Source organism: Homo sapiens, chromosome 7 (genome assembly GCF_000001405.40).
Source record: "Homo sapiens chromosome 7, GRCh38.p14 Primary Assembly".
NCBI lineage: Eukaryota > Metazoa > Chordata > Mammalia > Primates > Hominidae > Homo > Homo sapiens.
The window spans coordinates 94,393,794-94,421,697 of NC_000007.14; the positions used below are offsets into that span (position 1 = coordinate 94,393,794).

At 37.4% G+C, this 27,904-nt stretch overlaps 1 protein-coding gene across 1 annotated transcript in view; it reads left to right on the forward strand.

The window, feature by feature from the left end:
• COL1A2 (collagen type I alpha 2 chain) overlaps positions 1,102-27,904 on the forward strand; it is a 36,333-nt gene continuing 9,530 nt past the window's right edge. Inside the window, exons 1-38 of the mRNA NM_000089.4 lie at positions 1,102-1,308; positions 3,955-3,965; positions 4,589-4,603; positions 5,256-5,291; positions 6,403-6,495; positions 7,774-7,827; positions 10,763-10,807; positions 10,900-10,953; positions 11,046-11,099; positions 11,406-11,459; positions 11,880-11,933; positions 12,457-12,510; positions 14,054-14,098; positions 14,390-14,443; positions 14,543-14,587; positions 14,977-15,030; positions 15,529-15,627; positions 15,771-15,815; positions 15,930-16,028; positions 16,449-16,502; positions 16,627-16,734; positions 17,096-17,149; positions 17,263-17,361; positions 18,275-18,328; positions 18,791-18,889; positions 19,290-19,343; positions 19,897-19,950; positions 20,101-20,154; positions 20,429-20,482; positions 21,433-21,477; positions 22,612-22,710; positions 23,931-24,038; positions 24,706-24,759; positions 25,705-25,758; positions 26,440-26,493; positions 26,598-26,651; positions 26,748-26,855; positions 27,216-27,269. Of these exons, the coding sequence (NP_000080.2) occupies positions 1,239-1,308; positions 3,955-3,965; positions 4,589-4,603; positions 5,256-5,291; positions 6,403-6,495; positions 7,774-7,827; positions 10,763-10,807; positions 10,900-10,953; positions 11,046-11,099; positions 11,406-11,459; positions 11,880-11,933; positions 12,457-12,510; positions 14,054-14,098; positions 14,390-14,443; positions 14,543-14,587; positions 14,977-15,030; positions 15,529-15,627; positions 15,771-15,815; positions 15,930-16,028; positions 16,449-16,502; positions 16,627-16,734; positions 17,096-17,149; positions 17,263-17,361; positions 18,275-18,328; positions 18,791-18,889; positions 19,290-19,343; positions 19,897-19,950; positions 20,101-20,154; positions 20,429-20,482; positions 21,433-21,477; positions 22,612-22,710; positions 23,931-24,038; positions 24,706-24,759; positions 25,705-25,758; positions 26,440-26,493; positions 26,598-26,651; positions 26,748-26,855; positions 27,216-27,269 (2,349 nt within the window). The 5' untranslated portion in view covers positions 1,102-1,238. The remainder of the gene's footprint in view (positions 1,309-3,954; positions 3,966-4,588; positions 4,604-5,255; positions 5,292-6,402; positions 6,496-7,773; positions 7,828-10,762; positions 10,808-10,899; positions 10,954-11,045; positions 11,100-11,405; positions 11,460-11,879; positions 11,934-12,456; positions 12,511-14,053; positions 14,099-14,389; positions 14,444-14,542; positions 14,588-14,976; positions 15,031-15,528; positions 15,628-15,770; positions 15,816-15,929; positions 16,029-16,448; positions 16,503-16,626; positions 16,735-17,095; positions 17,150-17,262; positions 17,362-18,274; positions 18,329-18,790; positions 18,890-19,289; positions 19,344-19,896; positions 19,951-20,100; positions 20,155-20,428; positions 20,483-21,432; positions 21,478-22,611; positions 22,711-23,930; positions 24,039-24,705; positions 24,760-25,704; positions 25,759-26,439; positions 26,494-26,597; positions 26,652-26,747; positions 26,856-27,215; positions 27,270-27,904) is intronic.

Consider the following 27,904-nt stretch of genomic DNA (forward strand, 5'->3'; position numbering starts at 1 on the left):
GTGTGGCTGTAAGAGATGGGACAGAGAGTAAGCAGCAAGGTCAAGAGGGACCGGGGGGCTCACGGGAGGGTTGAAGGGTCCAGGCTCAGGGTAGAACTGGTAAATCCAGACAAGGAGCCCATGGAGAAGGGGAGGGGAGACTGGAAACCATGAAAGATCCCCCACCGCAGCCTCAGAAAGGAGAGACTGAGAAATAAGTTCTCGGTCTCCAGGTCGGTTGGAGTCGTGTCGGAGTGCCAGACCATCCCCCAAAAGACCCTCTTTGGAATGAGCCTCAGCAAAGGCAAGCTAGGAGGTCGAAGGACTTCCCCAGGTGACTCGGTCTAGTCTAGAGTTCGCAAAGCCTATCCTCCCTGTAGCCGGGTGCCAAGCAGCCTCGAGCCTGCTCCCCAGCCCACCTGCCAACAAAAGGCGCCCTCCGACTGCAACCCAGCCCTCCACAGACAGGACCCGCCCTTTCCCGAAGTCATAAGACAAAGAGAGTGCATCACTGCTGAAACAGTGGGCGCACACGAGCCCCAAAGCTAGAGAAAAGCTGGACGGGGCTGGGGGCGGGGTGCAGGGGTGGAGGGGCGGGGAGGCGGGCTCCGGCTGCGCCACGCTATCGAGTCTTCCCTCCCTCCTTCTCTGCCCCCTCCGCTCCCGCTGGAGCCCTCCACCCTACAAGTGGCCTACAGGGCACAGGTGAGGCGGGACTGGACAGCTCCTGCTTTGATCGCCGGAGATCTGCAAATTCTGCCCATGTCGGGGCTGCAGAGCACTCCGACGTGTCCCATAGTGTTTCCAAACTTGGAAAGGGCGGGGGAGGGCGGGAGGATGCGGAGGGCGGAGGTATGCAGACAACGAGTCAGAGTTTCCCCTTGAAAGCCTCAAAAGTGTCCACGTCCTCAAAAAGAATGGAACCAATTTAAGAAGCCAGCCCCGTGGCCACGTCCCTTCCCCCATTCGCTCCCTCCTCTGCGCCCCCGCAGGCTCCTCCCAGCTGTGGCTGCCCGGGCCCCCAGCCCCAGCCCTCCCATTGGTGGAGGCCCTTTTGGAGGCACCCTAGGGCCAGGGAAACTTTTGCCGTATAAATAGGGCAGATCCGGGCTTTATTATTTTAGCACCACGGCAGCAGGAGGTTTCGGCTAAGTTGGAGGTACTGGCCACGACTGCATGCCCGCGCCCGCCAGGTGATACCTCCGCCGGTGACCCAGGGGCTCTGCGACACAAGGAGTCTGCATGTCTAAGTGCTAGACATGCTCAGCTTTGTGGATACGCGGACTTTGTTGCTGCTTGCAGTAACCTTATGCCTAGCAACATGCCAATGTAAGTGCCTTCAGCTTGTTTGGGGGAGACTGGGTAGAGAGGTTAGATGGGAGGGCACCCTGCCCTGAAAAGGAAAACCTGTAACCTGAATTCCAGGTACACTTGGAGGGCAGACTCTCAGGCATGTGGGAAAACGCCGGAATTGATAAGAAACATGGAAATTACTTTAAAAAATGAAAACATAAAAGCCTTGCCAAAAGTTAGGGAACTTTTCCTCTAAGTTCAGAGTGAGACAGTTAACTCGGTCTGGCTCCTCAGCTTAGTAACCCCCAAAGGGAGCGGAAGGTCTTTTTCCCTAAGGATGAGATATTAACGACCAATGTGGTGGAGGAAGTCAAGGGCCTGCACCCCACAGGCCCCATAACCGCACTGATGTCCACCTTGTAAAACTTGAGGCCTGCGTTAGAAAGCCCTTCAACTGAGTAATGTAAAACTCACCTCCTAAGAGCTTTTATCTTCTGGGCATTGTAAGGCTTGTCCGGAGGAGGAGGATGACGATGCTGATATGATGATGGTTATAAGGCGCCCTCTGGAGGAAGGAAAATGAAAGTACAGGGGACAGGGCCTTAAGCAGATGGAATCCCAATTAAAGCTTCTACGGATTTATACAGATTAATGATCAGCATTTCTGGTTGGAGCCTTTCCCAGTGGCTAGTCAGTGAACCCTGGAAAGAAGAATGGATGCTACTTGGAGTGGGTACATTCTGAAAAGTAATATAAGTGTCTCAATTCACTTTCTAGTCATGGAAATGGTAACATTTTTTAACTCAAATCTGCTCTAAATTTTGTTTGAGCCTGAGAATTACCCCTTTGACATGTTCCCAGTGATAAGCAAACATTATGAACGCAGCAAGTTGAGAAATATCAACATTGAGATGAGACTCAAGAGACCGGGGTTTTTCCCATGAGTCTGACACCAATTTGCTGCGTGACTTTGGGCAAGTCAAACGGCCTTTTCTAAAATGTGAGACAGAGATTAAAGGGACCCCAAGGCCACTTTCCAGCTCTAGGTTCCATGGCCAGACTTTCATGTCAACAGAGAATGAAGAAGATCAGTCCGTTTTCATCTTGAAAATGGCTGCCAAAGTGCTAGACAAAGATATTGACTAGATGGGGGATGGTATTGTCTGACCACACCCAGTACTCCAAAAAGTTGTTCCACCCACACAGCACGGTGTCTACCACTGCATAATTTCTAATGCATTTGTGTGCTTGTGTGTGTGTGTGTGTGTGTGTGTGTGTCTGTGTGTCTGTGTGTCTCTTCCCCCTTCATTCACTTTTAGTATACATACTGTGGATACTAAGGAGTAATTGCAGTGAACAAATTCACATTACCGAGTTCATATTTTTAATGAGATCTTGAGAGTGGGAGGAAAGAGTCGGCTCCTAGAGAATAAAATGAAGGCAGACTTAGGGAAATTTGAAGGTACAAAGGCAACTTACCTTCTGATCAACAGCCAACCACAGTCTGGAATAAATGTTATCAAACACACATTCTTCAAAATGGTCCATGTCTGAGTAATTAAAAGGCAAATTTCCAAAATCATAAGGACTTCCGTTAATCAAGTCAGGCATAATTATTCTTCCTACTGATGGACACAATGAAGTAAACATATCATTCTTGTAATTTAACAGTAATTCTCGTAAATTGCCCTTAAATGTCAGTGCTGGATGTGGTCCACCCTCCTAAATTGTGACTGTTGCAACAGATGTTCTCACTTCAAATAACGCACTTCTTGGCCACCTAATTAAAGCAATTTTTGGGGTGATTCATCCTACTGCAAGCTTGGCCACACTTGTATCCTGTATTAACCTATAATTTTTGTACCGTAGGAGAAGAATTCACTCTTTAAGGACTTATAACAATTATGGCAAAAGGGGGGATAGTACTTTTGTTTATTTTTTCTATTATTTTTCAAGATCTTTAATCCGGTTTTTCCATTTATACAAAACTCTTTCTCCGAGACAAAAATGATACATATTGGTAAAATGATCTTACCTAATTTAAGTGAACTAATTTAAAGCAAAATTCAGATGTCTGAATTAATCCATTTTCATAGTTAATAATGTGCAAATTAGACCTTTTGAAAAAGGATATTAAGAATGGTACAAACTCAATGAAGTACTAGGTAACTTCAATGTTTTATAAAAAAGTAAGTCAGCTTCAATGTTTCATAAAAAACAAATTCAATATAGAATTTTAAGGTAACATACTTTCCTAAATTTTACCTTTTTTCGATATTTAGGTATTAAAAATGATCAAAATCATAAATTATTTCCTCATCAATCTACTAGTCTTACATTCAGCGATTCATCTGTGCACTTTACCAGCTTAATTGCTAAGCATTCAAAATATCCTTCAGACACATTAATATTTCACAACAGTTATAAAATAGTAAATAATTAATAATTTAATTCAAAATACATTTACATATTAATATTGCAAACAAATCACCCTGCTGATCCCTGCCATACTTTTGACCTGCATAATTTCTAGGTCATTAAAATATTCTTAAAAAAATATAATTGGTCCTTAATTAGGTAATTCAATTCTATAAACTTGTTTCTCTATTTGTTAATTATTGCTATTGATCCATGAAGTGATACTAATAATTGTTTCCTACTTTTTCTTTTTTTTTTCTACAGCTTTACAAGAGGTGAGTAAAACTTTTTTTAGAATTTTTAAAAATACTTTGATTCCCTTGGCTACAGTGATGTCTTCTCTTGGAAGGGAAGAAGTTACATTAATATTGACCATCCTAGATTCCCAAGAAAATTGTGAAGAATTATGATAGTCAAAACCTTTCTGGCTGCCTTAGAAAGTACCCACCCAATTTTCCAAAATAGGCGGGGCTACTGAATAAGACTAGGTTTATAAAATATTCATAAGAAATATAGAGTAAATAATCCAATAGAAGTTTGAGTTTTAGGATCAGCTTCTATGAAGCAGAAGATTTCACTGAGCTAGAGAATCTTTTCACTCCTTTGGAATTATTTGCAAAAGCACTTATTGTTAACACATTCTTAGCTCATGAGTTGAATTTGAGGCATAAGTACAGGTACGTATTGCTATGTATTTTTTGTTCTGTAGGTACATATTTTTATTTGACATGTTGGTAAAATTTTAAATTGTAGTTTGAAATATTAAACTGAGATAATAGTAAATGCATAATGTAATGAATTGTGAAGGTATATTTGTATACTACACCAAAATGGAAGCTGTTTTTAAATATATATATACAATTTTCTTCATAATAATCTTTGATTTATTCTTTTCTAGGAAACTGTAAGAAAGGTAAGAGTACACTACTTCTCCATAAATATCTAAAATTATCAGGGATAACATAATTTAACTAAATTTATAGTAGACTATAGAAGGAAAATACTTTATCAAAATTTTGTTCATATGAATATACATTAGCTAAAGCATAAAATAAAGTAGCTTTGATGTTTAAGATAACAAAGTTTAATTATCTTCTGGAATCATCTGTAATTACATTTATGTGATACAAACTGGTGATTTACATACAAAAGGAAAAAAAAAGACTTGTTTTTATTCTGGAGATGGAAGGCATATTATGTTAATTATAGGGAGTAAAAAAAGTTTATTTTAAAGGGCTTTGACTATATAAATGTGCTGTTAAAAATGTAACAAAATGATCATTTAATCTACAGTTATCATCTTATTCAAAATGCTATGCATAGTATTGACCTAATAGCTGAAGACTATAGCAGCTTCCAATCCTCCAGCTGAAAAAAAATTACGTATAATTACAATTAAAATATATACTTTTATCTATTGCATTGTGTCAATTTTTTATATGCTATCTAATAACATTGTAGTTACATCAGTCTTACCAACTAATTATTATCAAGAATGATTTGTTTGTTCACTGGAAATTACTTCTTAGGCATTTATTATTGTCCTGTTTGTATCTTTCCTGTAGGGCCCAGCCGGAGATAGAGGACCACGTGGAGAAAGGGTGTGTAATTTTTGAACTATAAAGGGCTTCGTCCCGTATTTGAATAACTATATGTTAGAAACTACAGGAACTGGCAATTTATAAGAATATTATGTATCCAGATAATTGTACACCCCTTTAAACAGGTAATGCACTGCAGAAGAAGCGAATGAGCATTATTATATATGATCAATATTTGTTTTAGGTCAAAATTACCGTTAAAAAAGAAAAACTGTTACAGTCATATTCTTTGCATGGTCTACTTTCTTTATTTGTAATTGACCCATCCAACACATGCATAATGGAAATATATCTACCTACCACCACAGTCCTCTTTTTAACACATTTCATTTGCTTTTGAACTAAGATCCCTTAGGTAGCTTGGAAATAATAGTGAATTAGTAGTCAGTAACATGTTTCTCTGCTCAAATTCATGCATGTACAAGTCAGGCTTACATTTTATTTGTGGCATTCTTAAATCTCCCTGCTATGCTTATTTGACATTTATAACTATGTGGTTTTGCATTGTATAACACTTTTGCCAATATATGAATACCTATATCTTATATCTATTAGGAAGAGGAGACTTACATGTATTTCACTCAATTTATTAGAAATAGAATTAAATCAGTTAATTATTTTAACAATACAAGTAGTTAATGATAGTAAATCTGCAGGATTTTCTCTCCTATGATAAAGTGACCTTATTAACTGTCACATCAGTTAATTCATTCACATGTAACATACCAAAACAATTGAATCAGTTTGTCACAGTCAGAGATCGGCAATAAAAATACGATGTAAGTCCTTGTGCACTGTTAAACATATGAAGCACGTGGAACCATACATTTTGGCTATAATTTTTATATTTGAATACTGGAGCTTCAGTATGAATTAATATTCAATGGCCGAGATAGTTCTTTAGGAAAACTACCCTGTGATATCTTAAGAGTTATTAACCCTCTTTCTAAAATAGACTCATAAGTGAATTTCAATCAATGACAAATATAGTATATTAAATTTCCACCCTACTTGCACATAGAAAGGTCTGAACAACTGATCTTACCACATATAATTCTTAGGTTTCTACAGGGCCTGTCTAACCTGACCTTACTCACTTTTTACATAACAGGGTCCACCAGGCCCCCCAGGCAGAGATGGTGAAGATGGTCCCACAGGCCCTCCTGGTCCACCTGGTCCTCCTGGCCCCCCTGGTCTCGGTGGGGTAAGGTGTCTTACGTATTGCTAACTTTTAGCTAACTTCAGTTGAAAGAAGGTTTATTGTGGAATTTATTTTTAGCAGTTAAGGGATAATTCTTCCATTTGAAAATTAGTATATTTTATTTCATTTATTTGGTTTTTTCACTCAAGATTCTGCTTTACCCATTCTCTTTGTGAGCCCTTGTCAATTACAGGACTGGTCTTTGTGTGCACTGAAGTTAGCTGTGGCCATCATTACCATTATTTAATTTGGAGATTTAATATCTTTTATTAGTAAGGCACAAATAAGAGGTGTTGCATTATTAAGGATTTTGATTAGATTGAACTGTGTAAGTGAAATCCCTGATCTTAAGCAATTTTACAAACATCCTACGCTTTTTATTCTCCTTGACTTGAAGTCTGCTGAACCAACATTCAAAGCGGTTTTAGGTTTAATTTGCTTGAAACTAATTTGAGAAAAGTACATTTCCCTTTTTCATTAATATCTTCTTTTAGCTTCATGTCTTTAACAATGGTATGAGTGCCAAATGACCTCACTGCAGGAAGGAAAACATATTTGCTTAATTGGTTAGCACTATGAATCAGAAGCCTGATTCTAATACCCAACTGTATGTCAGTAAAATAAGACCTTTCTCCCCCAAAGATCTTATTATGATTGCTTATCTATGAATTGCATTAAAAAGCAGCTTCTTTAATAGAGCTACCACTATAAGAGAGATCTTTAACAGTAAAGTTATTACTGTGAACTAGTTTTTAGAAGTTTTATCTTCCAAGGGGTATTTTAATTTAATTTTCCTCTAAACTTGAAAACTCTTTATGCCCTTCCTGAAACTCCAGCAAGAAAAAGATCTCTTAGTCATTTTGTGTAGCTCCGGTGGGGAAGGGCAACAGGTGAAAATGTGAAGATGTCCTCTTGAGCTCTGTCTAATTTGTCAGGAGCCCTTAGTAACATTAAAAGTTTAGAAAGCTTCCCTTCCTCAGAGTAGAGGTAAAAGGTGGGAGTGGAGACACCGAGTTAAGGCAGAGGAAGGGCTCAAAAAGTAAAGTAGGGAAGTTCTCCATTTCAAAGAGGTGTCGGCCAAGTTTTTGACGTACAGCTCTCATAACTTTTTAGGAATTTAGTTCAATATAGAATTTTAAACTAATAATTATATCAAAAACATTGCCCTCTTTTAAATAACAACAGAAAAATATTTACAAGTAGAATGAGAAAATGAACTACATGACTAGTAACTAAAAATATTTTATATATATATATAATTTTTTTTTTTTACTTCTCTAGAACTTTGCTGCTCAGTATGATGGAAAAGGAGTTGGACTTGGCCCTGGACCAATGGTATGCTTATCTGTTTATCTTAGCCAAAAAAATTGCTAAATAAATCATTCATTTTATGTCACATTTTACCACGCCATTTATTTAGCTACCTAAGTTAACACTCAATACTTAGATTATATAAAAACAACTCTTTTTGTTTTCAAATTTATGAAAACATAAGTTAAGGAGTTCACTTTTCTTTACAAAAGAAAGATTAATTGATCTTTTATGATTATATGATCTTTTTGATTATATGATCCTCATTAAGATAGATCATATACTTATGTCCAAGAAATAATCTTTGGACATAGTAACCATAACTTGGGCAAATCAATTTAATTTAAAACAGTAATCACTCTGATTAATTTTTTAATATTCTTTAACATTGCTTAGAATTTTAAGCAACACTTAGAGGCATAGAACTATTTATTAAGTTCTCTGAACTTGTTGGAAAGGATCAACAAGTTCTATCTAGTCCAGCTAACTCATTTTAAAATGGGAGAGTTTAAGCCCTTTTCTCAAAGTCATCCAGGTAACTAATGACATAACTAGAACTAGATGCCAGGCAAGATGTCTAATATTTGCTTACATCATGGTTTATGTACCTAGTCCTTGAATAAACCACTCATTTAGTCAACAGATATTAATCAGATGCCTTCAATGGGCCCTAAACTGTATTAGGAACTGGGGAAATTACAAGGAATATGACAGATTCTGATCCTTCCTCAAGGAGTTAACAATATAGGAAATGTTTCTTTTTCTGAATTTTGACCAAAAAAATCCTTTTTTAGTCTATTGATTGTAAATCTATATAGAAGAGAGTATGAGTAAAAATCTAGCATTTATGTCACTCAGTACAAATATTCAGCACCATACCCTATCAGTGGAGCACCGCTTAGAAACATTCCCTATATGATGATGATGATGATGATGACTATTAACAAATGAAGCTTCTAACAAGCATTAGAGAGAAGTTTGAAGGGAAAAATGCTAATACGAGCATGCAAAATGTATACTAGCATATATGAAATAGAGGGGAAAACTGCCAGAAGTCAAAGTGTTAGGTTGATTAAGCACTACAGAATTTAATGTATACACACACACGCAATTTAGTGATTTTAATTAATTGTTTCAAAACAAAGGTATTTATCTGCCCAAAGTCAACAAGGTCTTTAAAATGTAAATTTTACCTGGGCAGTGCACTTAGTGCTCTATCTTCAAAAGAAGATGTTCTGCTGGAGCTAATGGCCCACAGTAAGCTAATATACTCTAAGGGTGAGATAATATTTTCTGTAAATTAAAACTCCCACTTGAGAAATAATGTACCTTTAATTGACGACTTCTAATTCCCTAATTTTTTCTGGTAGTTTAAAATGTTCATATCTGAAATGAAAAAGTAGAGTGTTTCTTTTGGCTTTGTTTATATTGGATTTTTGAAATTAGCTGTTTCAGCTAATGCTGGACATTAGTCAGTTTTAAAGCAGTACCTACATCTCAAGAAGAAGCAAGGGGGCGGAAAGTAAAGAGCTACTAAATGTCATTTTTAAAAAGCCCACTAAGCTGGGAAAATTAATATGGATTTCAGATACCCCTGTTTTCGGAACATCTGTCTTGGCATAAAGCAGAGTATTTTACTTTGAAATATCAGTGAAATATAATTTAAGCTTGCACATCCACACACATGCACAGACATATGTAATCAACAGATATCTGTTTCACAAATAGGGAAGATAGGCAGCAATAAAGTATTAAAATAATTTCCATGTTGGAAAATCAATAACTATAAAACCCCACAGGGTTCTTCTCTGAATTAATGAGTAATCACAGCCTCCATGAAATACACTACATTTTATGTAAATGAAATTGTTGCAAATACATGAAAAAATAAATATAATTAGAAATTCATGATGTCAAAGAAAATTATTTTTTAATGTATGCCTAAAAAGCTATTGTGATGGAAAAGTGACAGTTTCTTTTAATGTCAGAGCAATTTCTAAAACCAAATGAATAATTCTTATAATTAAAATGACATACATTTTAGATAAAATCCATGTTATTTCACTCTAGGCATTAATACAGTAAGGTAGGTTTGACTGCAGAGTCCCCACAGCTGATGTCATGAACAAATTACTTGAGACTGGTACATGAAATATTTTCAGCATTATGAGGAACAGACCCTACGGATGAGCTTACACAGGCACTGATTACTGCAAAGAGGAGTCAAGAAAGTGTATTTAGCTTACAAACTATTAACAGCCTGTTTTACCCTACTTTTGTGCTATGGAAACAACAAAGGGGAAAACAATCTTCCATCATTTGGGCCATATTTTCAACAATAATATCATATAATAGACTCTTCCAGAAGGCTGTTTCAATAATGTTTTATTTTTCCTTCACCCCTCATTACATCCACTTTTGTTTGACATTTTCATCAGTCACCAATAACCCTTAGAGGAGCGATAAGGTTATAACAAACTTCTCTCTAATCATTAAGAAGGACTTTTGATTCTTTTCAATTTATGTCCTTTGTGGCAATAAAAATACCAATTTCTTAGCTAAATATGACATAGGAAGATGACATATGATCAAAGATATCCAAATGGACATGCTTCATCTGCTGTATAGAAGACAATTGTATATTCTGCACTTCTGCAAAGACTGATTCACTTCATTGCATCAGAACAATCTCAATATGCCCAATTGTGCACAACTTTAAGGAACCTATCTGCCCCGTCTAATTCTCATTGATTTCTGTTGATAAGGATTGGGAGAAAAGGAAAAGCAAAGGGAGAGAACTAGTGCAGGAAGTTTGAGTCCTTAAATTCTTCCTTGGGAGGAATAAAAACTATGGAATCAAACCACAACAATGGCACTGCTAAGTTGGTCATATCTGACCCCAGCCAACACCATGACAACTTATCAGTGCTAACTGTTGATATATCTGCTTTCTTTACAGGGCTTAATGGGACCTAGAGGCCCACCTGGTGCAGCTGGAGCCCCAGTAAGTACTGAAAGCTTGTAATGCCTCTTATGTAAAAAGACAGAGAATTAAGAAATAAAGGCTTGGAGTATGACATTCTTTTTTTCTTTTAGGGCCCTCAAGGTTTCCAAGGACCTGCTGGTGAGCCTGGTGAACCTGGTCAAACTGTGAGTACATTTTTCCACCTTTGTGATAAGTTTTTTTCCAGGAAGTTTATGAATATAACCTTAGTGAAATGATGGGTCTCCCATTTTCTTAGGGTCCTGCAGGTGCTCGTGGTCCAGCTGGCCCTCCTGGCAAGGCTGGTGAAGATGTAAGTATTTACTCTTAAGCACTTTCAAAATGCTATTTAAATACTCTTGCCTCAACAAGATTTTCTAGATTCAAATTAAGTATTCTGCCAAAAGCTGAATATGCCTGACAGAACTCTTAATGTATGGGAAATATTATTTTAATGAAATATTAACTAACCTACTTGTATTAAGGGAAAGATTAAATATATATCTGGATCCATATTTTTATGTGATAACTTTCTCCCCTTTTGTAAAAACCAAGATTCCCCCATTTTGTCTGATAGTTTACCAAGAAGAAGTTGACTCTACAATGTTTTCATGTTTAGGGTCACCCTGGAAAACCCGGACGACCTGGTGAGAGAGGAGTTGTTGGACCACAGGTGAGACTTTTTACATTGGTAGATAGCACAAACATCATAGGCCTATAAGATAGTTGCTAAAACTAGCATCAATCTAAATGACAACATAGATGTCACCCAAACTCATAACATGAATCGAAGGCATCTAATAAAGAAAAAAGCCTAGTTAAAAAAAAATGCATATACATTTTATTCATGCAAATAATGGAATATAAATGACAGCAAGCATACCATAAGCAACTAAATTGTGTTTTCTACAAATACCGTATTATTAGTTACTCACATTAGAGCAAGTTAATTTGTCACTCTGTGCTTAGAGGTATACTAGACTTTGGTTCAAAGCTTGAACTTTGATGAGAATAAATACTTTGGAGGGAAGAAGTCACTGTCTTTTTATTTATGGTAAAACATTATTCACCATCTTCTGTATTTCTTTCTAAGGGTGCTCGTGGTTTCCCTGGAACTCCTGGACTTCCTGGCTTCAAAGGCATTAGGGTGAGCACATTCTTTACTCAGAAGAGAGAAAATGCCTATTAATTTTTGGAAAAAACTCAAGTATGTTTAAAATCTTGGGTGACATATACTCACTTTCAAATCCCTGGAGTTTGCCAAAGGGAAGAAAGAGTTAAAGAGTCAGATTTCTTGAAAGTAAAGTGGGGTGCAATTTTTTCAGTCTGTTCATAGCTACCAAAAAACAGGCTCACTACAGAGAAAATTATATAGAACATGTATTACTTATTGAGTATTTACAACCGTCTGAAAATCATAAAATTATTAAGGATGGAAAAGATGTGAGAGAACACCTAGTCCTCCATCCTTCTCTCTCAATGGCAAGAAAGTTAAGTGACCTATCTAGGGCAATAGACTGAGTTTGCTGGGACCTGGAACACTGGACTTCTTTCTACTGCAGCAGACAAGACTTACCCAAGAGAGATTAATGGCAAAGATATACAATACAATTTTTATTTGACCAAACACTATCATGGAACAGCATTTTATAATAAGGCTTTCCTTTCAGGGACACAATGGTCTGGATGGATTGAAGGGACAGCCCGGTGCTCCTGGTGTGAAGGTAAATATTAAATTAGAAGCACTGTTTTTAAGCACTTGATTGAAATTCCCCATGACCTCCAAAAAAGTATATTATACTGAAGACTACCCATATTACAAAAAGTATTTTTATTTTTTTTCTTTCCTGTACTTCAAATCCCTCAAGGATGGGGACTATGAGAGTCTGTGAAAAAAGGTCAATTATTAATATTTATTAAAATTCAATATCTATTAAACAATTGAGATAAAAATAATATTAATAGTTTCTTGTTCCATTTCCTTTCCTCCCTCTATAATTCCAGTGTATCTCTGCAGCCAAAATAAAAGTAAATAAACATATAATCAGAGATTACGACACTCTGTATTATTTTAAACTGTAAATTCTCCTTTGCCACACACTAATTAGATAGGTACATTCATGTCGCTATACACTTTTCAACCTCTTTCCTGTGATTTATCTGTGCACACTCAAAAAAATTTTAATTAGGTAATTAAAGTCTCAGAAGTGTGTTATCTCTTGGCTAGGCTCTTCTCTGACAGCGTTTTCAACTATAAAATGTTCTCTTTCCTATTAAGGAGATAATGTGATATTAAAGTGAATACCAACGTAATTACAAATTAATGAGTAACGAATACTAGCGGGACCAGAAATGAACATGAATATGGAGAATCTATTCTAACTTTCCAGCTGCCACACAAATGGATAAGGTCAAACTCATTCTCCCAAGAGCCCGATATAACAGCTCAGACTACTAATCACTGTATCATAAAATGTTAGAGCTGCAAGGAGCTTTGGAGACCCCCTCATTTTGCAGAGGTGGGAAACTGAGGCTTCGTGAGAGCAATTGACTTGCCCAAAGTCACACATCTAGAGGTTAGAAAGTCATAGGCTAGAAATGATCCCCCCTTGCCACTTCAATGCTTATTCCCAAAGAATAGACTTCACATAGAATCCTGGAAATTAAGGGTCCTTATGAGGTCTCTTAAACCATATTTCCCCTATATCTAAATCAGATTATCTTTAAAAAAAGTTCTTTTACATGTGCCATAGTATTAAATCCCACTACTACTACTACTACTACCCTGGTTTTTACTCAGGATAAGAATATAGATTGGAAATAAATATGATGGCTCTAAAAAATACCATGAAGCTTCAATTTTTCATGCACATTTTATGAAAGTGATAACACTGAGTGTTCAAAATAACTTTAAAAAGGATAAATATGGTTACATTGAAAGCAAATTTATCCTTTGCCATCTCTTTTTATGATATTGTTTCTAGTATATAATTGATATCCTGAATCTAAGGGAGAAATTGGGGAGGAGGTACACTCAAATAACCACATCTCCTTAGAACCTGGATATGTGGTACTATCTGAATAAAAACTCATGTTAGCACATTTTAAAATCTGTGTGTCTGGCATAATTGAAAAACAATCTATATGTGTAAGAAATATTATGAAGTATATGAATGGTTCAAAGTAAAAAAAATAGAGTAAAATTGCACTATCAGGAAAAATAATTGTTATATTTAATGAACAAAAACTCAATCCTTCTCCATGTAGGGTGAACCTGGTGCCCCTGGTGAAAATGGAACTCCAGGTCAAACAGTAAGTATTGACTACTTCATTGTAAATTTAAATGTGTACACTCTTTATGAGATGGAACTTCTTTAATGTTTTTGCTAATCACTGTATCCTTCAGCATTGTATTCTTTGATGTTTTTCTAATAGCCTTCTGATACTTAATTGAAATCCACTACTGTTTAGTTGGAATTAGAAGGCAACTTATTTATTTTTAGTGTATTCTTGTACAGGTTGGAAACTGAACAAAGCAAATGATGCCTGTGACTTTTTTTAAATTAGCATTCTGGATTTTATTGAAAATATTTCTGCTTCTAGGGAGCCCGTGGGCTTCCTGGTGAGAGAGGACGTGTTGGTGCCCCTGGCCCAGCTGTAAGTGCTTCCATTTTTGTTCAGTTTCATCCTTTTAAAAAATCTTCTAATGGCTGTCATTTAAGTTTCCACCTGATCTTCCCTTTATTTTCTTCTTAGGGTGCCCGTGGCAGTGATGGAAGTGTGGGTCCCGTGGGTCCTGCTGTAAGTTTTGACACTGGGGAGTTTGAAAGGAGTTGAGAATGTGGGGTGGGTGCTGTCTTCTTCATTAATCTCTTACGAAATAGCATCATTTCAGACACTTTACCAAATGTTCTGTGAGGTCTTTTGAAGGCTCCATTTATAAGTAGTGTAAGCCATTTATAAGTACCTGAACTTTTGATTGATGTATAAAGCAAAATATCCCCACCCTGGATACCATGAATGTCTTGCCTTTGATGAGATCCTAACGACAACAGACTGGTTGTCAGTTTTTTTCTTTACTAATATAAACAGTGTCATGCCACTGTAAGCAACTTCAATCTTCTGCCATTGTTATTGTTTTCTTAATTTACTTGGAGGAAATTTCTTACCACCTTCTGCTTTGATTTCAGGGTCCCATTGGGTCTGCTGGCCCTCCAGGCTTCCCAGGTGCCCCTGGCCCCAAGGTAAAAACACTGGTGACCATTGTCACTACTTTGATAAACTTTTTACTGTGATGTGAAAGATTGGAACTGTGTTTGCAGATAAAGAGATAATTACGAAACAGTTACCTTAATTATTCCTTCCCTTCAAAATGGACATAGAATGACCAGTTTTCTCACTCTACATTTGAAATAGATCATTTCTCTGCACTGTGCACTGTGCCCATCGATATAGATGACAACATGGAAATTGTCTCTAGGACTAGTTAGTTAGGACTGACTGAGAACCAGAGTCAACCACAGAGAGACAGAAGGAGAGGGAAGGTAGTAACAGTAGCCAAGATGGCAGAATCAAGCAAGGAAAATAGGAAACCAAACTCAAATCTTGTAATAAAACGGATAAGAAAAATAATTGCAATTTTGAAGTTTTATGAAGACATTTCATAAAACTTGGCATCTTAAAAACAGATATGCTGTTTCATTATTTGCTGGTTAATTCCTTGGTTTAATTTCCTCTTTTAGGGTGAAATTGGAGCTGTTGGTAACGCTGGTCCTGCTGGTCCCGCCGGTCCCCGTGGTGAAGTGGGTCTTCCAGGCCTCTCCGGCCCCGTTGGACCTCCTGTAAGTAGCCACTGTCTTTAAACTTTATTGAGTAAAAGAAAACAAAGGTGGAGTATGGGGAAGAAGAAGAATGAAGATGGGGTCAAAGAAGAACCGAAATATTCCAATTAACTGATATCCTTCTCCTTTCCTTTTCCTCATAGGGTAATCCTGGAGCAAACGGCCTTACTGGTGCCAAGGGTGCTGCTGTGAGTATACCTGCGTAGCTAAAATGTGCTGCTATGATTTTAAAGGCATTTAATGTGTGCTGCCTCTACAGCCCATCACCTCCCTAATGGACCACACTGCATTTTCCTTCACAGGGCCTTCCCGGCGTTGCTGGGGCTCCCGGCCTCCCTGGACCCCGCGGTATTCCTGGCCCTGTTGGTGCTGCCGGTGCTACTGGTGCCAGAGGACTTGTTGTAAGTGGTCATGACTGTGGTTCTCATCATCCTGAAATACCACCTCTGCCATCATTTCATCACTATCTAGACTTCCACTTGTAGTTTTATTATTCCTATTTTTCTCTTCCTTAGCATTTTTAGTTTATATTTCTTATATATATATGTACACTCCCGTCTGCTATATGCACACAGACATGCCCTTCCTGTTATCTTAAATCATTACCTCAAGGTAAATGAGGCAAAGTTCTACAATATCAGTTTTGTCCCTTCGACCAATAATACCATTCCCCTGTACTCAATTTAAATATGAACAGGGTACATTTCCTAGAGAACTTGAGCTTCTCTTTACCTTGACCCACAAATATTCTAAGAGATTTGTCTGCAAGAGAGTTTCAACAAATGTTTGTCCTTTGACCACTGTTCTGTATTGAACCCTAGGGTGAGCCTGGTCCAGCTGGCTCCAAAGGAGAGAGCGGTAACAAGGGTGAGCCCGTAAGTAGCTCTATCATCACACTTTTATAAAGTTAATTGTTTTTCTCATTCCAGTTTCTCCAGCTGGACATAGTATTAAAATTATTTTTTTACTCCCTCTTCTTTTGTTCTTTTCATTAAACAGGGCTCTGCTGGGCCCCAAGGTCCTCCTGGTCCCAGTGGTGAAGAAGGAAAGAGAGGCCCTAATGGGGAAGCTGGATCTGCCGGCCCTCCAGGACCTCCTGGGCTGAGAGTAGGTTTCAAATGCTCCCAACACCCTAACACACCAGAGGCAGATTATGATACCCCTTCACTGGGAATTGGTCAAAATTACTGACTGTGTTTTCTTAGGCAAAAAAAGCATCTGCTTTCCATCTGCCTTATTAAATCAGTGACTCTCAATTTAATATGTTATAAAATTGGCCTGGAAACAATGTTGACCTACTTTTGCAGGATGCTCATCTATGAATTCCTCTAGGGGTTGGGTGAAGTGTTTTGGCTTGGTTTGTGTCTGTATCTCCCCTGTAAGGAGATCATGCTATTTTTTACAAACTCTACCTTATCAAAGCCAAGAGATTTCTTTAATTCTCTCTATTTCATGTACTTTCTTGCAGGGTAGTCCTGGTTCTCGTGGTCTTCCTGGAGCTGATGGCAGAGCTGGCGTCATGGTAAGCTGTCTATCACTTACTTCCTAGAAAGGGGCTTGCTGCTTCTGGTGGTGGGTGTGTCATTAGCTTTAGCATCCTCCTCCTCTATCTGTTTTTTTTTTTTTTTTGAATAGGGCCCTCCTGGTAGTCGTGGTGCAAGTGGCCCTGCTGGAGTCCGAGGACCTAATGGAGATGCTGGTCGCCCTGGGGAGCCTGGTCTCATGGGACCCAGAGTAAGTTTCAAACTGATTCTGAGCAAATCACACCTGGCATTACTTCCTTCTTTAAAGGGTTGGTTAATATTGAAGATAACAATAAAAACATCAAAAGTAAATTTGTTAGTAGTCTTGCTGACAGTTGCATTTTTGACTTTATCAAAGCTCAGTAGATATTTTCATGCATTTAATTAGTTCATAAATTTTCTATTTATTACTTGATACAATGGCTATGAGGTTTTTGGAAGAATAGATCTATTTTAATATATCCAAATTAGATTGGTCCTCCTATCAGCATGAATCTTTTATCTTAATTTGTGAGTTTTATATAAGGTGTTCATGAAATATATTAGGACTATACATTTTTGGTTTATTAGATTCATAAGTGAAGTCTTTTTCCTAGCAATCACAAAGTGCTGTAATGTATTCAGCATCACACTAGCTATGGAGAAATAACCTCTAGGTCCATAGACACACTAATCCATAGCAATAGAGTAATTTTTTTGCCTCCATTGCCTCTTATGGGTGAATATCAACTGTAATTGTACCATAAACAAGTAATAGGGACACCAAATATAGCAATAAGAAATCCACTTTGGAAATTGTTTACTAAAAGTATTAGTTTTTCTATTATGAGGTAAATAACGTGATACATTTTGCCCATATACATGTTGCTTAACAGTTTCTTGAGATATCTATAAAAGGATGAGTTGCACTAAATTTCAATAAAAGGAAAGCCACAAAAAAATAGAAGAAAAATTTCAGAACTCTTTTCACACTTCCCAGCTAGTGGCTAATATTCCTAATGATTTACCCTAGGCAACAAACAAAAAGTCGGGGGAAAAGGTGCCTTTGTTAGACTTCAGTTAATCTAAGGCTTGAGTATGTAAGTTAAAGTGCCAATATAAAAACATCCTCATTTATTTTATAGGGTCTTCCTGGTTCCCCTGGAAATATCGGCCCCGCTGGAAAAGAAGGTCCTGTCGTAAGTATTGCTCATTTTCCATTATATTTTCAAGGACACTTATTGCACCCTTATCAAGTCTATTTTGTGGCTTATTTATACATGAACACATTGAAAATAAATATCAGACACATACATCATCTGGGAATGCAGAGTAATAGATTGTAATTATGGAGTCCAAATGAATACAGGACTGAAAGCAGAGCAGGGGAGAGAAAAACATGGCAGGGAAAATTGAAGCAGGTGACAAGGGGATGCAAGAGAAGGGAATGAGGGAAATTGCATACATACGAGATTGAATTGGCTATGTGTGTACTGACATCCTAGTTAGAAAAGGAAAATGGATTCATAATTTATTAACGCTTTATACAAGAAGCTCTATGCATTCAGAAAACTATTCTGTTTCATCCGTGGCAGCATCATAAGCTTGAGGTTGTGAGAATATGTTGACACTGAGTAAACTTGAAATAACTCTGCTTTCAGGGCCTCCCTGGCATCGACGGCAGGCCTGGCCCAATTGGCCCAGCTGGAGCAAGAGGAGAGCCTGGCAACATTGGATTCCCTGGACCCAAAGGCCCCACTGTAAGAATCACCACAACTTTCTTACCCTCAGCACTTTCTGTAGCCAAATTTTACCAAACTCTAGTATTTATCTCCTGCGAATCAGTCCAGTCTCAGGGAGTTTCCTTTCAACACAGGAAAACTGCAGGCCACTTATCACATTAAAAGTTTACCTCTAGTGTATCCTTATATCCCTGCTAAAAATCCATCTCCTGAGCCCCATGCTTCCACAGACACAGGGACATCTTACTGTACATGGAGCTGCATGGTGATGGATCATCCTTAGATAACAGAAACCACAGACTAGGGATCTCAAAAGAACACAAAAACAAGCAGGATTCAACATTGCAAAATCACCGTGGTTAATTTGACATTAAATGTGCAAAGCTGTTCTTTGTTTTGTTTTTCATTTTTACTCTAGGGTGATCCTGGCAAAAACGGTGATAAAGGTCATGCTGGTCTTGCTGGTGCTCGGGTAGGTGCTAACTTGTGTACAGATCTATTCACATAGCATTCATCTAAGAACCACACTTTTTTTTTTACACCATCTGATATCATTTTGTCACTTTCTTTTCAAGATGGCATCCCCAGGGGTCCTTTTACTATCATAAAATGCCTTTTTAAAAACCAAACTTATAAAACAGTGAGCAAAAACAAATCAGAATATACATTAGGTCAAAAATACAGAAGCACTTGGCTTTTATTTTATTCATTTTGTAATTAAAAGGGTATGAATATGTAGTAGCATTCTCTGGCCTTTATAAATTGCCTTGTGTCGCATACTTCGCTTGAGTCATATCAAAAGTTAGTAGGCAAACCCATAAATATATATACCTACTATGTACCCACACAAATTAAAAATTTAAAAAGTTAGTAGGCAGTATTTGGGCTTTCGTGGGAACCCACAATGAGTTTAATTCATGCTAAAATGACAAACTTGTTTTAAGGAAGTAATACCTGAGGCTTTGAGACATCTTAAACTACCTGGCTTGCAGCTAACCATCAGCCTTTCTGTTAAATATTTTTAGGGTGCTCCAGGTCCTGATGGAAACAATGGTGCTCAGGGACCTCCTGGACCACAGGTGAGTATTTCTCCCACTCTTGTGCTCTTCTGCACTAGAATGTATATAGTCCTCAAACTGGCCATCTCCATTTTCAGTCCAAAAGTTATACAGCTAGACAACAGTGGTGACATACGTTGCTATTTATGCTCTCTTTCCTGTCACTTTCAGGGTGTTCAAGGTGGAAAAGGTGAACAGGGTCCCCCTGGTCCTCCAGGCTTCCAGGTAAGTCAACTCAAACATATACAATACTGCCTTTGGTCAGCCTATTGAGCTGTAAATCACCATACCGTACCTCTCTTCTCCACCACAATAAACATGATTTCAGGACTGAAGCAAAGAAAGGTGCATTTTTTTCAAACAAACTTTTGTGTAATGCTTAATAACATACAATCGTGCTCATGTTGATATTTGGTAGCCACCACCCCCAAACTCAATTATTAGCAAATCTCCTGAACGTAGCCATGGGATTGAGATTTGTATTTCTTTTCATTTTTAGGGTCTGCCTGGCCCCTCAGGTCCCGCTGGTGAAGTTGGCAAACCAGGAGAAAGGGTGAGTAAAACAAGTAATAGTAAGTAGTAACTACTAAACTTGAGAATTTCCCCCTGTTTAATACCCCACTGCTATGCAATTATAATATGTAAAAGAAAATTTCGTATTTCATATGTTAATGATAGTGTTTTACATACTTTGGTGCTGATGGAGAGAATGAGCCAAATTACTTTAGTTCTGATTACTTTGTTTTACAGATTTAATGAAACATCACCTTATGAAAGTAAAATCTATCAATGAATATTTTATTTAATAGCCTTACTTTTTGTATTGTTCTTGATAACGTTAAGATACAAATTATTTCCTTCCCCATAGTGAAAAAGTAAATGCACAATTTTCAATCAAACTAGATCCCGAAAAATTCCTTTTGTGTTTTTCTTGGCATTCAGACATGACACTACTATACACAATCAGGGCATGAGTTCTGAGTCATTTTCTCTCTAATTGTGATGAATGTGCCCCTATTTAGTTACATTCTGTGGCCTGGTCTCCTTTGTCAACAGTAGGACATATTAAGGAGACAGCTGGTCAGTAATAAAAGAGATACACTTGGGTATACAATTAACTAGGCAATGTACAGAATATGATAATTTCTCTTAAGAAGACGATCTGTTATACAGCTAAAAATAGGCAATGTCTAATATTCATTATTATTTATCTTATTATTGAAGGAAATAGTCTGTCACTTTTTAAAAAGCAATAAACTAAATAATGGGAAACAAATTTTTTGATACCAAGTTCTGGGATGGATACATTTTTGTCACCAATAAAATTCTCTCTTTCTGTATCTTTCCATACTAAAAGTTGTTCTTATTAGCCTGTGTACTTATGCACTCATGTAGATACTGCCAGGTTTATTTCACTCTTTCCAAATTTTTCAAATATTTTAATCATAAGTGAATTTAGAGATCACACACAGATTTCATGCTTTATTCTCATGTTTTGTCTAGGGTCTCCATGGTGAGTTTGGTCTCCCTGGTCCTGCTGGTCCAAGAGTAAGTGTTACTTCATTAACTTTCATAAACTCTGGCAATGTGTTTTTAAAAGTAGTAGTGCTTTCTCCTTAAAGCCACTGATGACCCTGCAACAAGTCTCTGATGCTCTTCTATAGTCAAATGTAATCTGTAGAAAGCATTAGATTTCTAAGTTGATAGTAGAATTTTTTGTTTCATTGCTCATATTTCCTATTCAATAATTACATAGTTATAAGAAACACATAAATCAATATATATTATAGTCAGTGATTTATATAGACAACTATGCTACATTTGTGACAGTGGCTCAACTTGAGCTAAGGAAAAATAATATGTTACTAAGATATAAAGTTAATTTTGGCCATGTGTGTTGATGTTCAAAGCCTAAAGCCGAACTTATGAGTAGTCATATAAAGAAAAAAAAACTTAGTTTCTCTATGGGTATTAGCATCACTGAAATGATTAATTTGCCCTGAAAGTATTCCATCATGTCACTAGTTAACACATATGTAGGAAGCTCAAAGAACCAACTTATAACAAGGTCCTTTGAAACAGTTACAACGTGGACCTATGTGATAAATATTTTGGGCTATAGAATGCTATGCTCTAGTGATATTTAGATGTAAATTGGGAGATATTTAGATAGACAGACATATATATATATACACAAATACATATATCAAATATACATATGAATATTGTAACTGTTATATCATTATTACACAGGGTTATAAAAAGGGGGCATAGATAGGAGAATATCTAATGTTATCTACACCTGCCATTGCTATTCAACTAAAATGACACAATCTTTTCTTTGAATACTACACATAACTGGCATCTGTTTTTACCTATGGATTTATCACAGAAAAGACTCCTCAAAGAAGGGGAATGAATTGCAAAAATTGAATATTATACTCTAGAAGCAACGAATTCTGGAGTCGTAGTCATGGAACATTAGAGCTAAGTGACACTTTAGAGAATATCTCATCAATCTCTTCATTTTACTAGTGGAGAGATTAGGAACAAAAGAAATTTTAATTTGCTAATAAATGCAAACCAGGGCTCGGAAGCTACACAAATGTAAACTCTCATATGTAAAACAGTATCACTGAAAGTGATGAATGGTGCAACACTTCTTCTAATCACTTTTTTCAGGGGGAACGCGGTCCCCCAGGTGAGAGTGGTGCTGCCGGTCCTACTGGTCCTATTGGAAGCCGAGGTCCTTCTGGACCCCCAGGGCCTGATGGAAACAAGGTAAAATCTTATGTTTTCTATATTGCTGGTTTGGCCCAGTCTGCCTGGAATAAGTAGACCCTTTACAATAGAAAGATAATTGTTTTTCAGATTTTTATTTATTTCCAGTTCTGTGATGACTTCCCTCTCAGTAAACAGCAATCCGATTCCAGTGGACCTGAATTATTCTAAACAAACAAACAATAGCAACAAACTGTGGGGGAAAATTCAGAGTTCCCAAAACATAAATGAATTAGTATGGGTTGTCACTCTTTTCTCCTCACGCTGTTTATGCTTTTGTTTTAATCTAGAAACATTGTATTCATTGGACATTATTTTCAGAGAAAATAACTTTTTATCTTAACATCTCATCCCATAGAGTAAAATTTCAACAAGTAGTCTGACTTTTAATAATAAGAGTTTATGATGATGAAAATTCATTGGGCAATACATTCACCCCCAAAAATTTGTCTGGAAACTTGTGTTCCAAAATAGAATCTGTGGTTTAGATTTTAAAATAGATTTAATATACATTCCTGAAAAAGAGATTACCTTAACCACAATAAAAAGAAGACAACACATATTATTTTCATTCTTAACTCTAGGGGAAAAAATGTAAACATTAGTTGCAAAAAGCTATTTTAGTGTATGGAAGGATGTTCTTGGGAAAAAAATAAAAACATAAAAGGGAGAGAGGAAATAAAGAAACCACGGTTTTGTGAGGTAGTACTTTCAAAGGGATCTATGTATCTCAGAAGCTAGTCAACAGGTTTTAAGTATGTGGAATTGTAGGGTTTTATATAAAAATGGAAGATACAGTCTCTACTCTTAAGGAGATTAAAACACAAACATCTCCTCAATTGACAAGGTCTCTTTCCATGCTTTCTATCTGGGCTAAGAGACTTATCCTTGAAAAATGTTTGTGGGTAAACATTTTTTACTCTCTGCTTCCCATTGTCCTATCCTCTTCTCCATGCCTGCCATCCTTAAGAGGACTGAAGCAGGTTATAGAGGAATCGCAGCTGTGCACTCCCACTACCCTCATCTCTTCAGTCACCATGTCATTAACAGCATCTCTCTCTGCTATATTCTCCCTCCTTTCAATAGCCCAGCCTTCTTTGTGTTTCAAAGCAGGCAAGAAGCCTGTCTAGCTAGCTGTTTAAATTGGAATTCTTCTAGAGTTTGATTCTTCATTTTCTTCTTTCTCCACTAAAATTGATTTCACATGTGTTTGACTCAAGGGTGAACCTGGTGTGGTTGGTGCTGTGGGCACTGCTGGTCCATCTGGTCCTAGTGGACTCCCAGGAGAGAGGGGTGCTGCTGGCATACCTGGAGGCAAGGGAGAAAAGGTACGTGTTGACCCCTATTACATATTGTTGATGAACTCTAGTAAAGAAGGCTGCACAAGGATGCCCAAGTTTTCACAATTCTTGGCAGGTGGTCTGGTAGCATTTTCATATCTATCTATATACATTTCCCTCTGCCACCTAGCACCTACACATTTCTAAACTCACTAATCTGGCAAAATTCCTTGCTACCATGGAATTTCACACAAACAGATGGTGTTGAGTAATACATGAGGCTCATTTTAATGCCACTAACAATAATGCCTCATCCTGTCCTAATTAATGGGAAGAAGCTACATTGAACAGCTGTCAACCATGCTGCTGCATTAGTTATGCCGTAAGAGTGATCAGGCGCTGCAGCCCATTGTGATGTTGCCTTACAATTCTGTCCACATGAATCTGTACCTTGCTTGATTATGCTTCAGGAGAGTGTACGGAAATTAGAAAAGATTGTTTAACAATAATCTGGAAATGGCCTTGAATTATTTTTTCCTCATTATTTTTCTCGATTAACATTCTACAGAATGGTAAGGAATCGAGACATTGCTAAAAATCTTAAATGACTGAAGGTATCATAGCATCTTCTGTAAAAAAGAAAAAAACTTCATATTAATTTCGATTCAAAATTTTGGTCAGAAAACAAAAAGTTGCTCTTGCTTTATACTTTCAGGGTGAACCTGGTCTCAGAGGTGAAATTGGTAACCCTGGCAGAGATGGTGCTCGTGTGAGTAGAATTTTGTTTGTATGTTTCTTCGTACTTGGATTTTTTTTTTATGTTTGAATTGAGAAGTTTTCCAAATTAGAACTACACACACTTTATTTATCAAGTTTAATAAAATAATATTCCTTTCTCTCCTGGGTCTATGACTAATAATATCATTTTACATGTTCCAAAGGAAAAATTAAATGGGATTTAACCTCTTTGAAAATAATATCCTGAATTTTCTAACTTCCCTAGTGTCAATGATACCAACTACAAACTATAGACCAAAAGCTTTAGGTTTAATAGAATATTAAATGATTGCTTCAAGTGATAACAGAGATTAAAATAAATAAATAAATAAGTCTCCTATGCTTTAGGAAGCCGGGACCTCTAACAAGATTCTATAGTTATTCAAACCTACTCCCTAGAAATTTATCACCCAAAGAGCAGCCCCAAAGATTAGCTGTTAATGCCATGAAGATGCCAAAGATAATCCCATGACAGTCTAATTACCTTATCTCGTATGTCAGCCTCATGGGTCTTCTAGGCCACAGTCGGCCTGGATTCCTTTATTCACCTCTCCTTCAGAGCTGAAAACTGACTGTAGCACATCTGTAATAGTCTTTCTTTTGAATCACGTAGTTCTAACAGTTTCAAACAAGGCTACTCATTTGCTGCTCTCCAGGGAATTTTACAATAGCGGAAAGTTCAGATCTCCCAAATTTCTGACCTGCTATTGACTTACACATTTCCATAACCTTTATTACTGGAGTACCCTCCTTCTGAGAGTGGCTTCTAATAGTCTTGTTAATTAGAACCAAAATACATCAGAGGCCTTCTAGATATCCAACCAGAGTGCAGTGAAAGTGTTCAGTCACTGTATAAGCACAGAAAAAAAGAATGACAAGGTTCACTTTTGATGATACGGGGTGTTATTAATAAGACATGTTTCCTTTTTGGTACTAGGGTGCTCCTGGTGCTGTAGGTGCCCCTGGTCCTGCTGGAGCCACAGGTGACCGGGTAAGCATGCATTTTCACTAAGCCAACAGCAATATCTAAAATTTCCCGCCTTCCCTAGTCCCAAAGAGCCCCAGCAATTCATTTTTATGGCTTGGTATAAAGCCTACTTATTTAAAAACCTAGCTATTGTGATAGAGCAGCAGGAAACAAATGCTGTGTGTTTAAAATTACTTTTCCCTTCCTATAGATTTGCCAGCTATCTGATCTATACTCTAATCCCTAGCATTTGTTTTAAAGTCTCTCCATGTTGCGCATTAACAATATCCTAATGCACTGAGGCTTCTCAAAGCCTTCAATTATTACCAAAAAATCAATAAAATACATAGTGTGCCCATTTCACATTGAACTCTCCACTTAAAATAGATCTTATTTATTGTATTGCAAAGATTGCCACAAATAGATCAGCCCCGTGTCCATCTAAAAATTAAAATGTCCTCCTCCTGGTATTGTAGGCACTGATTTATAGTGTTTTCTCAAGTGTATAACCCATACTACTTAACCCCCAAAATGAATATAGCATTAAGTAAAAATCCACTTCATTTTACTCTGTGAGATGTGCGTCAGTTATCTCTTCCAAGGCAACTACAGACTCTGTCTGTCCACCACTGTTCTCTCTCCCTCCCAGTTCTTTGAGCATCTATGTCAGGCACATTAACAGATTCATCTTTGGTCCCATTATAGGGCGAAGCTGGGGCTGCTGGTCCTGCTGGTCCTGCTGGTCCTCGGGGAAGCCCTGTAAGTAAGAACCTGGGTCATTTTGTATACTCACACCTCACAATGTTTAGACATTGATGAACCTAGGATTGATAACACATTTTTAAATCCCTTCTCCCACCTAGGGTGAACGTGGTGAGGTCGGTCCTGCTGGCCCCAATGGATTTGCTGGTCCTGCTGTGAGTATCACATAATGAAGATTAATCTGAAAACATCCTAAGTTGGGGAGTAGAGTGGGTCGGAATACCAGAGCTGTAACTGTTTATTTCCAACAGGGTGCTGCTGGTCAACCTGGTGCTAAAGGAGAAAGAGGAGCCAAAGGGCCTAAGGGTGAAAACGGTGTTGTTGGTCCCACAGGCCCCGTTGGAGCTGCTGGCCCAGCTGTAAGTTGAATTCACTGGTGGTCCACACAGCAGCTACCCATTAGATCTTCCAATTAAATATATATCCGTCAAGTGCCTGCTATGCAACAGGGAATATACCAGATAGAAGATGGAAAATAACGGAAGGATTAACATTTGCACACTGCTTTACAAAGTATAAAAGTTTCATGAATATTGTTTTATTTTAATTCTCTGATAACCTCATAAGGGTGGTAATATTGAAGAACATTCTGACACAGATAGTCATTTTTTATTTCTATATTTTCTTCTAAGAGATGCGGGAATGATCCACTTGAAGAAAAGAGTAGCATTTACAAGGGTTTGTTTGTGATTTGACTCCATCTTTTTGTTTGCATTTAGGGTCCAAATGGTCCCCCCGGTCCTGCTGGAAGTCGTGGTGATGGAGGCCCCCCTGTGAGTATTTACAATGGACTCTCGCCGCTTTTCTTTTTTCAGAATCTATTAAGGACACTTGAAAGTTTTGAAATTTTTGGTAAATTTGGACTACCATGAGGAAACTTTTGAGATTCAAGTTCATTCTATTCAGAGCAATTCCGATATTGATGTTAACTTGAACTCAGCTGGAACTCAGTGTATGTTGCTATCAGCTCACTTGAGGTAATAACCAAGGTGGGCCCTAGGCAGTTTAATTGTAAAGTCGGAAAAAATATTCCTTTTGGCGTTTATTAATATGCCCCTTCTTCTGCCTGACCATGTCCTTCTCCTTTGCAGGCAATGCTATCACAACAATTCTCTAGAGACCCAGAGCTCCCCAAAAATGAACTTTACTGACTTCTTCTCTCACTGGACAGTGCTGAATTATCTAGGTCATTTGTTATTCTTTTGTCCATGAACACCATTACCTATTAAGTGTCCATTTCCTTACCACTCAGCCAGGTGGTAAAGATAGTTATTAATGTATACACATTAATGTGTAATAATGACATAGTGTCTTATCTTCATACCTTTACAACCATAAGATAATATGTCAGCATTTCAGAAAGGACCATCCAAACCTTAACGCAAAATATGGGCATTGCAACTGGTAA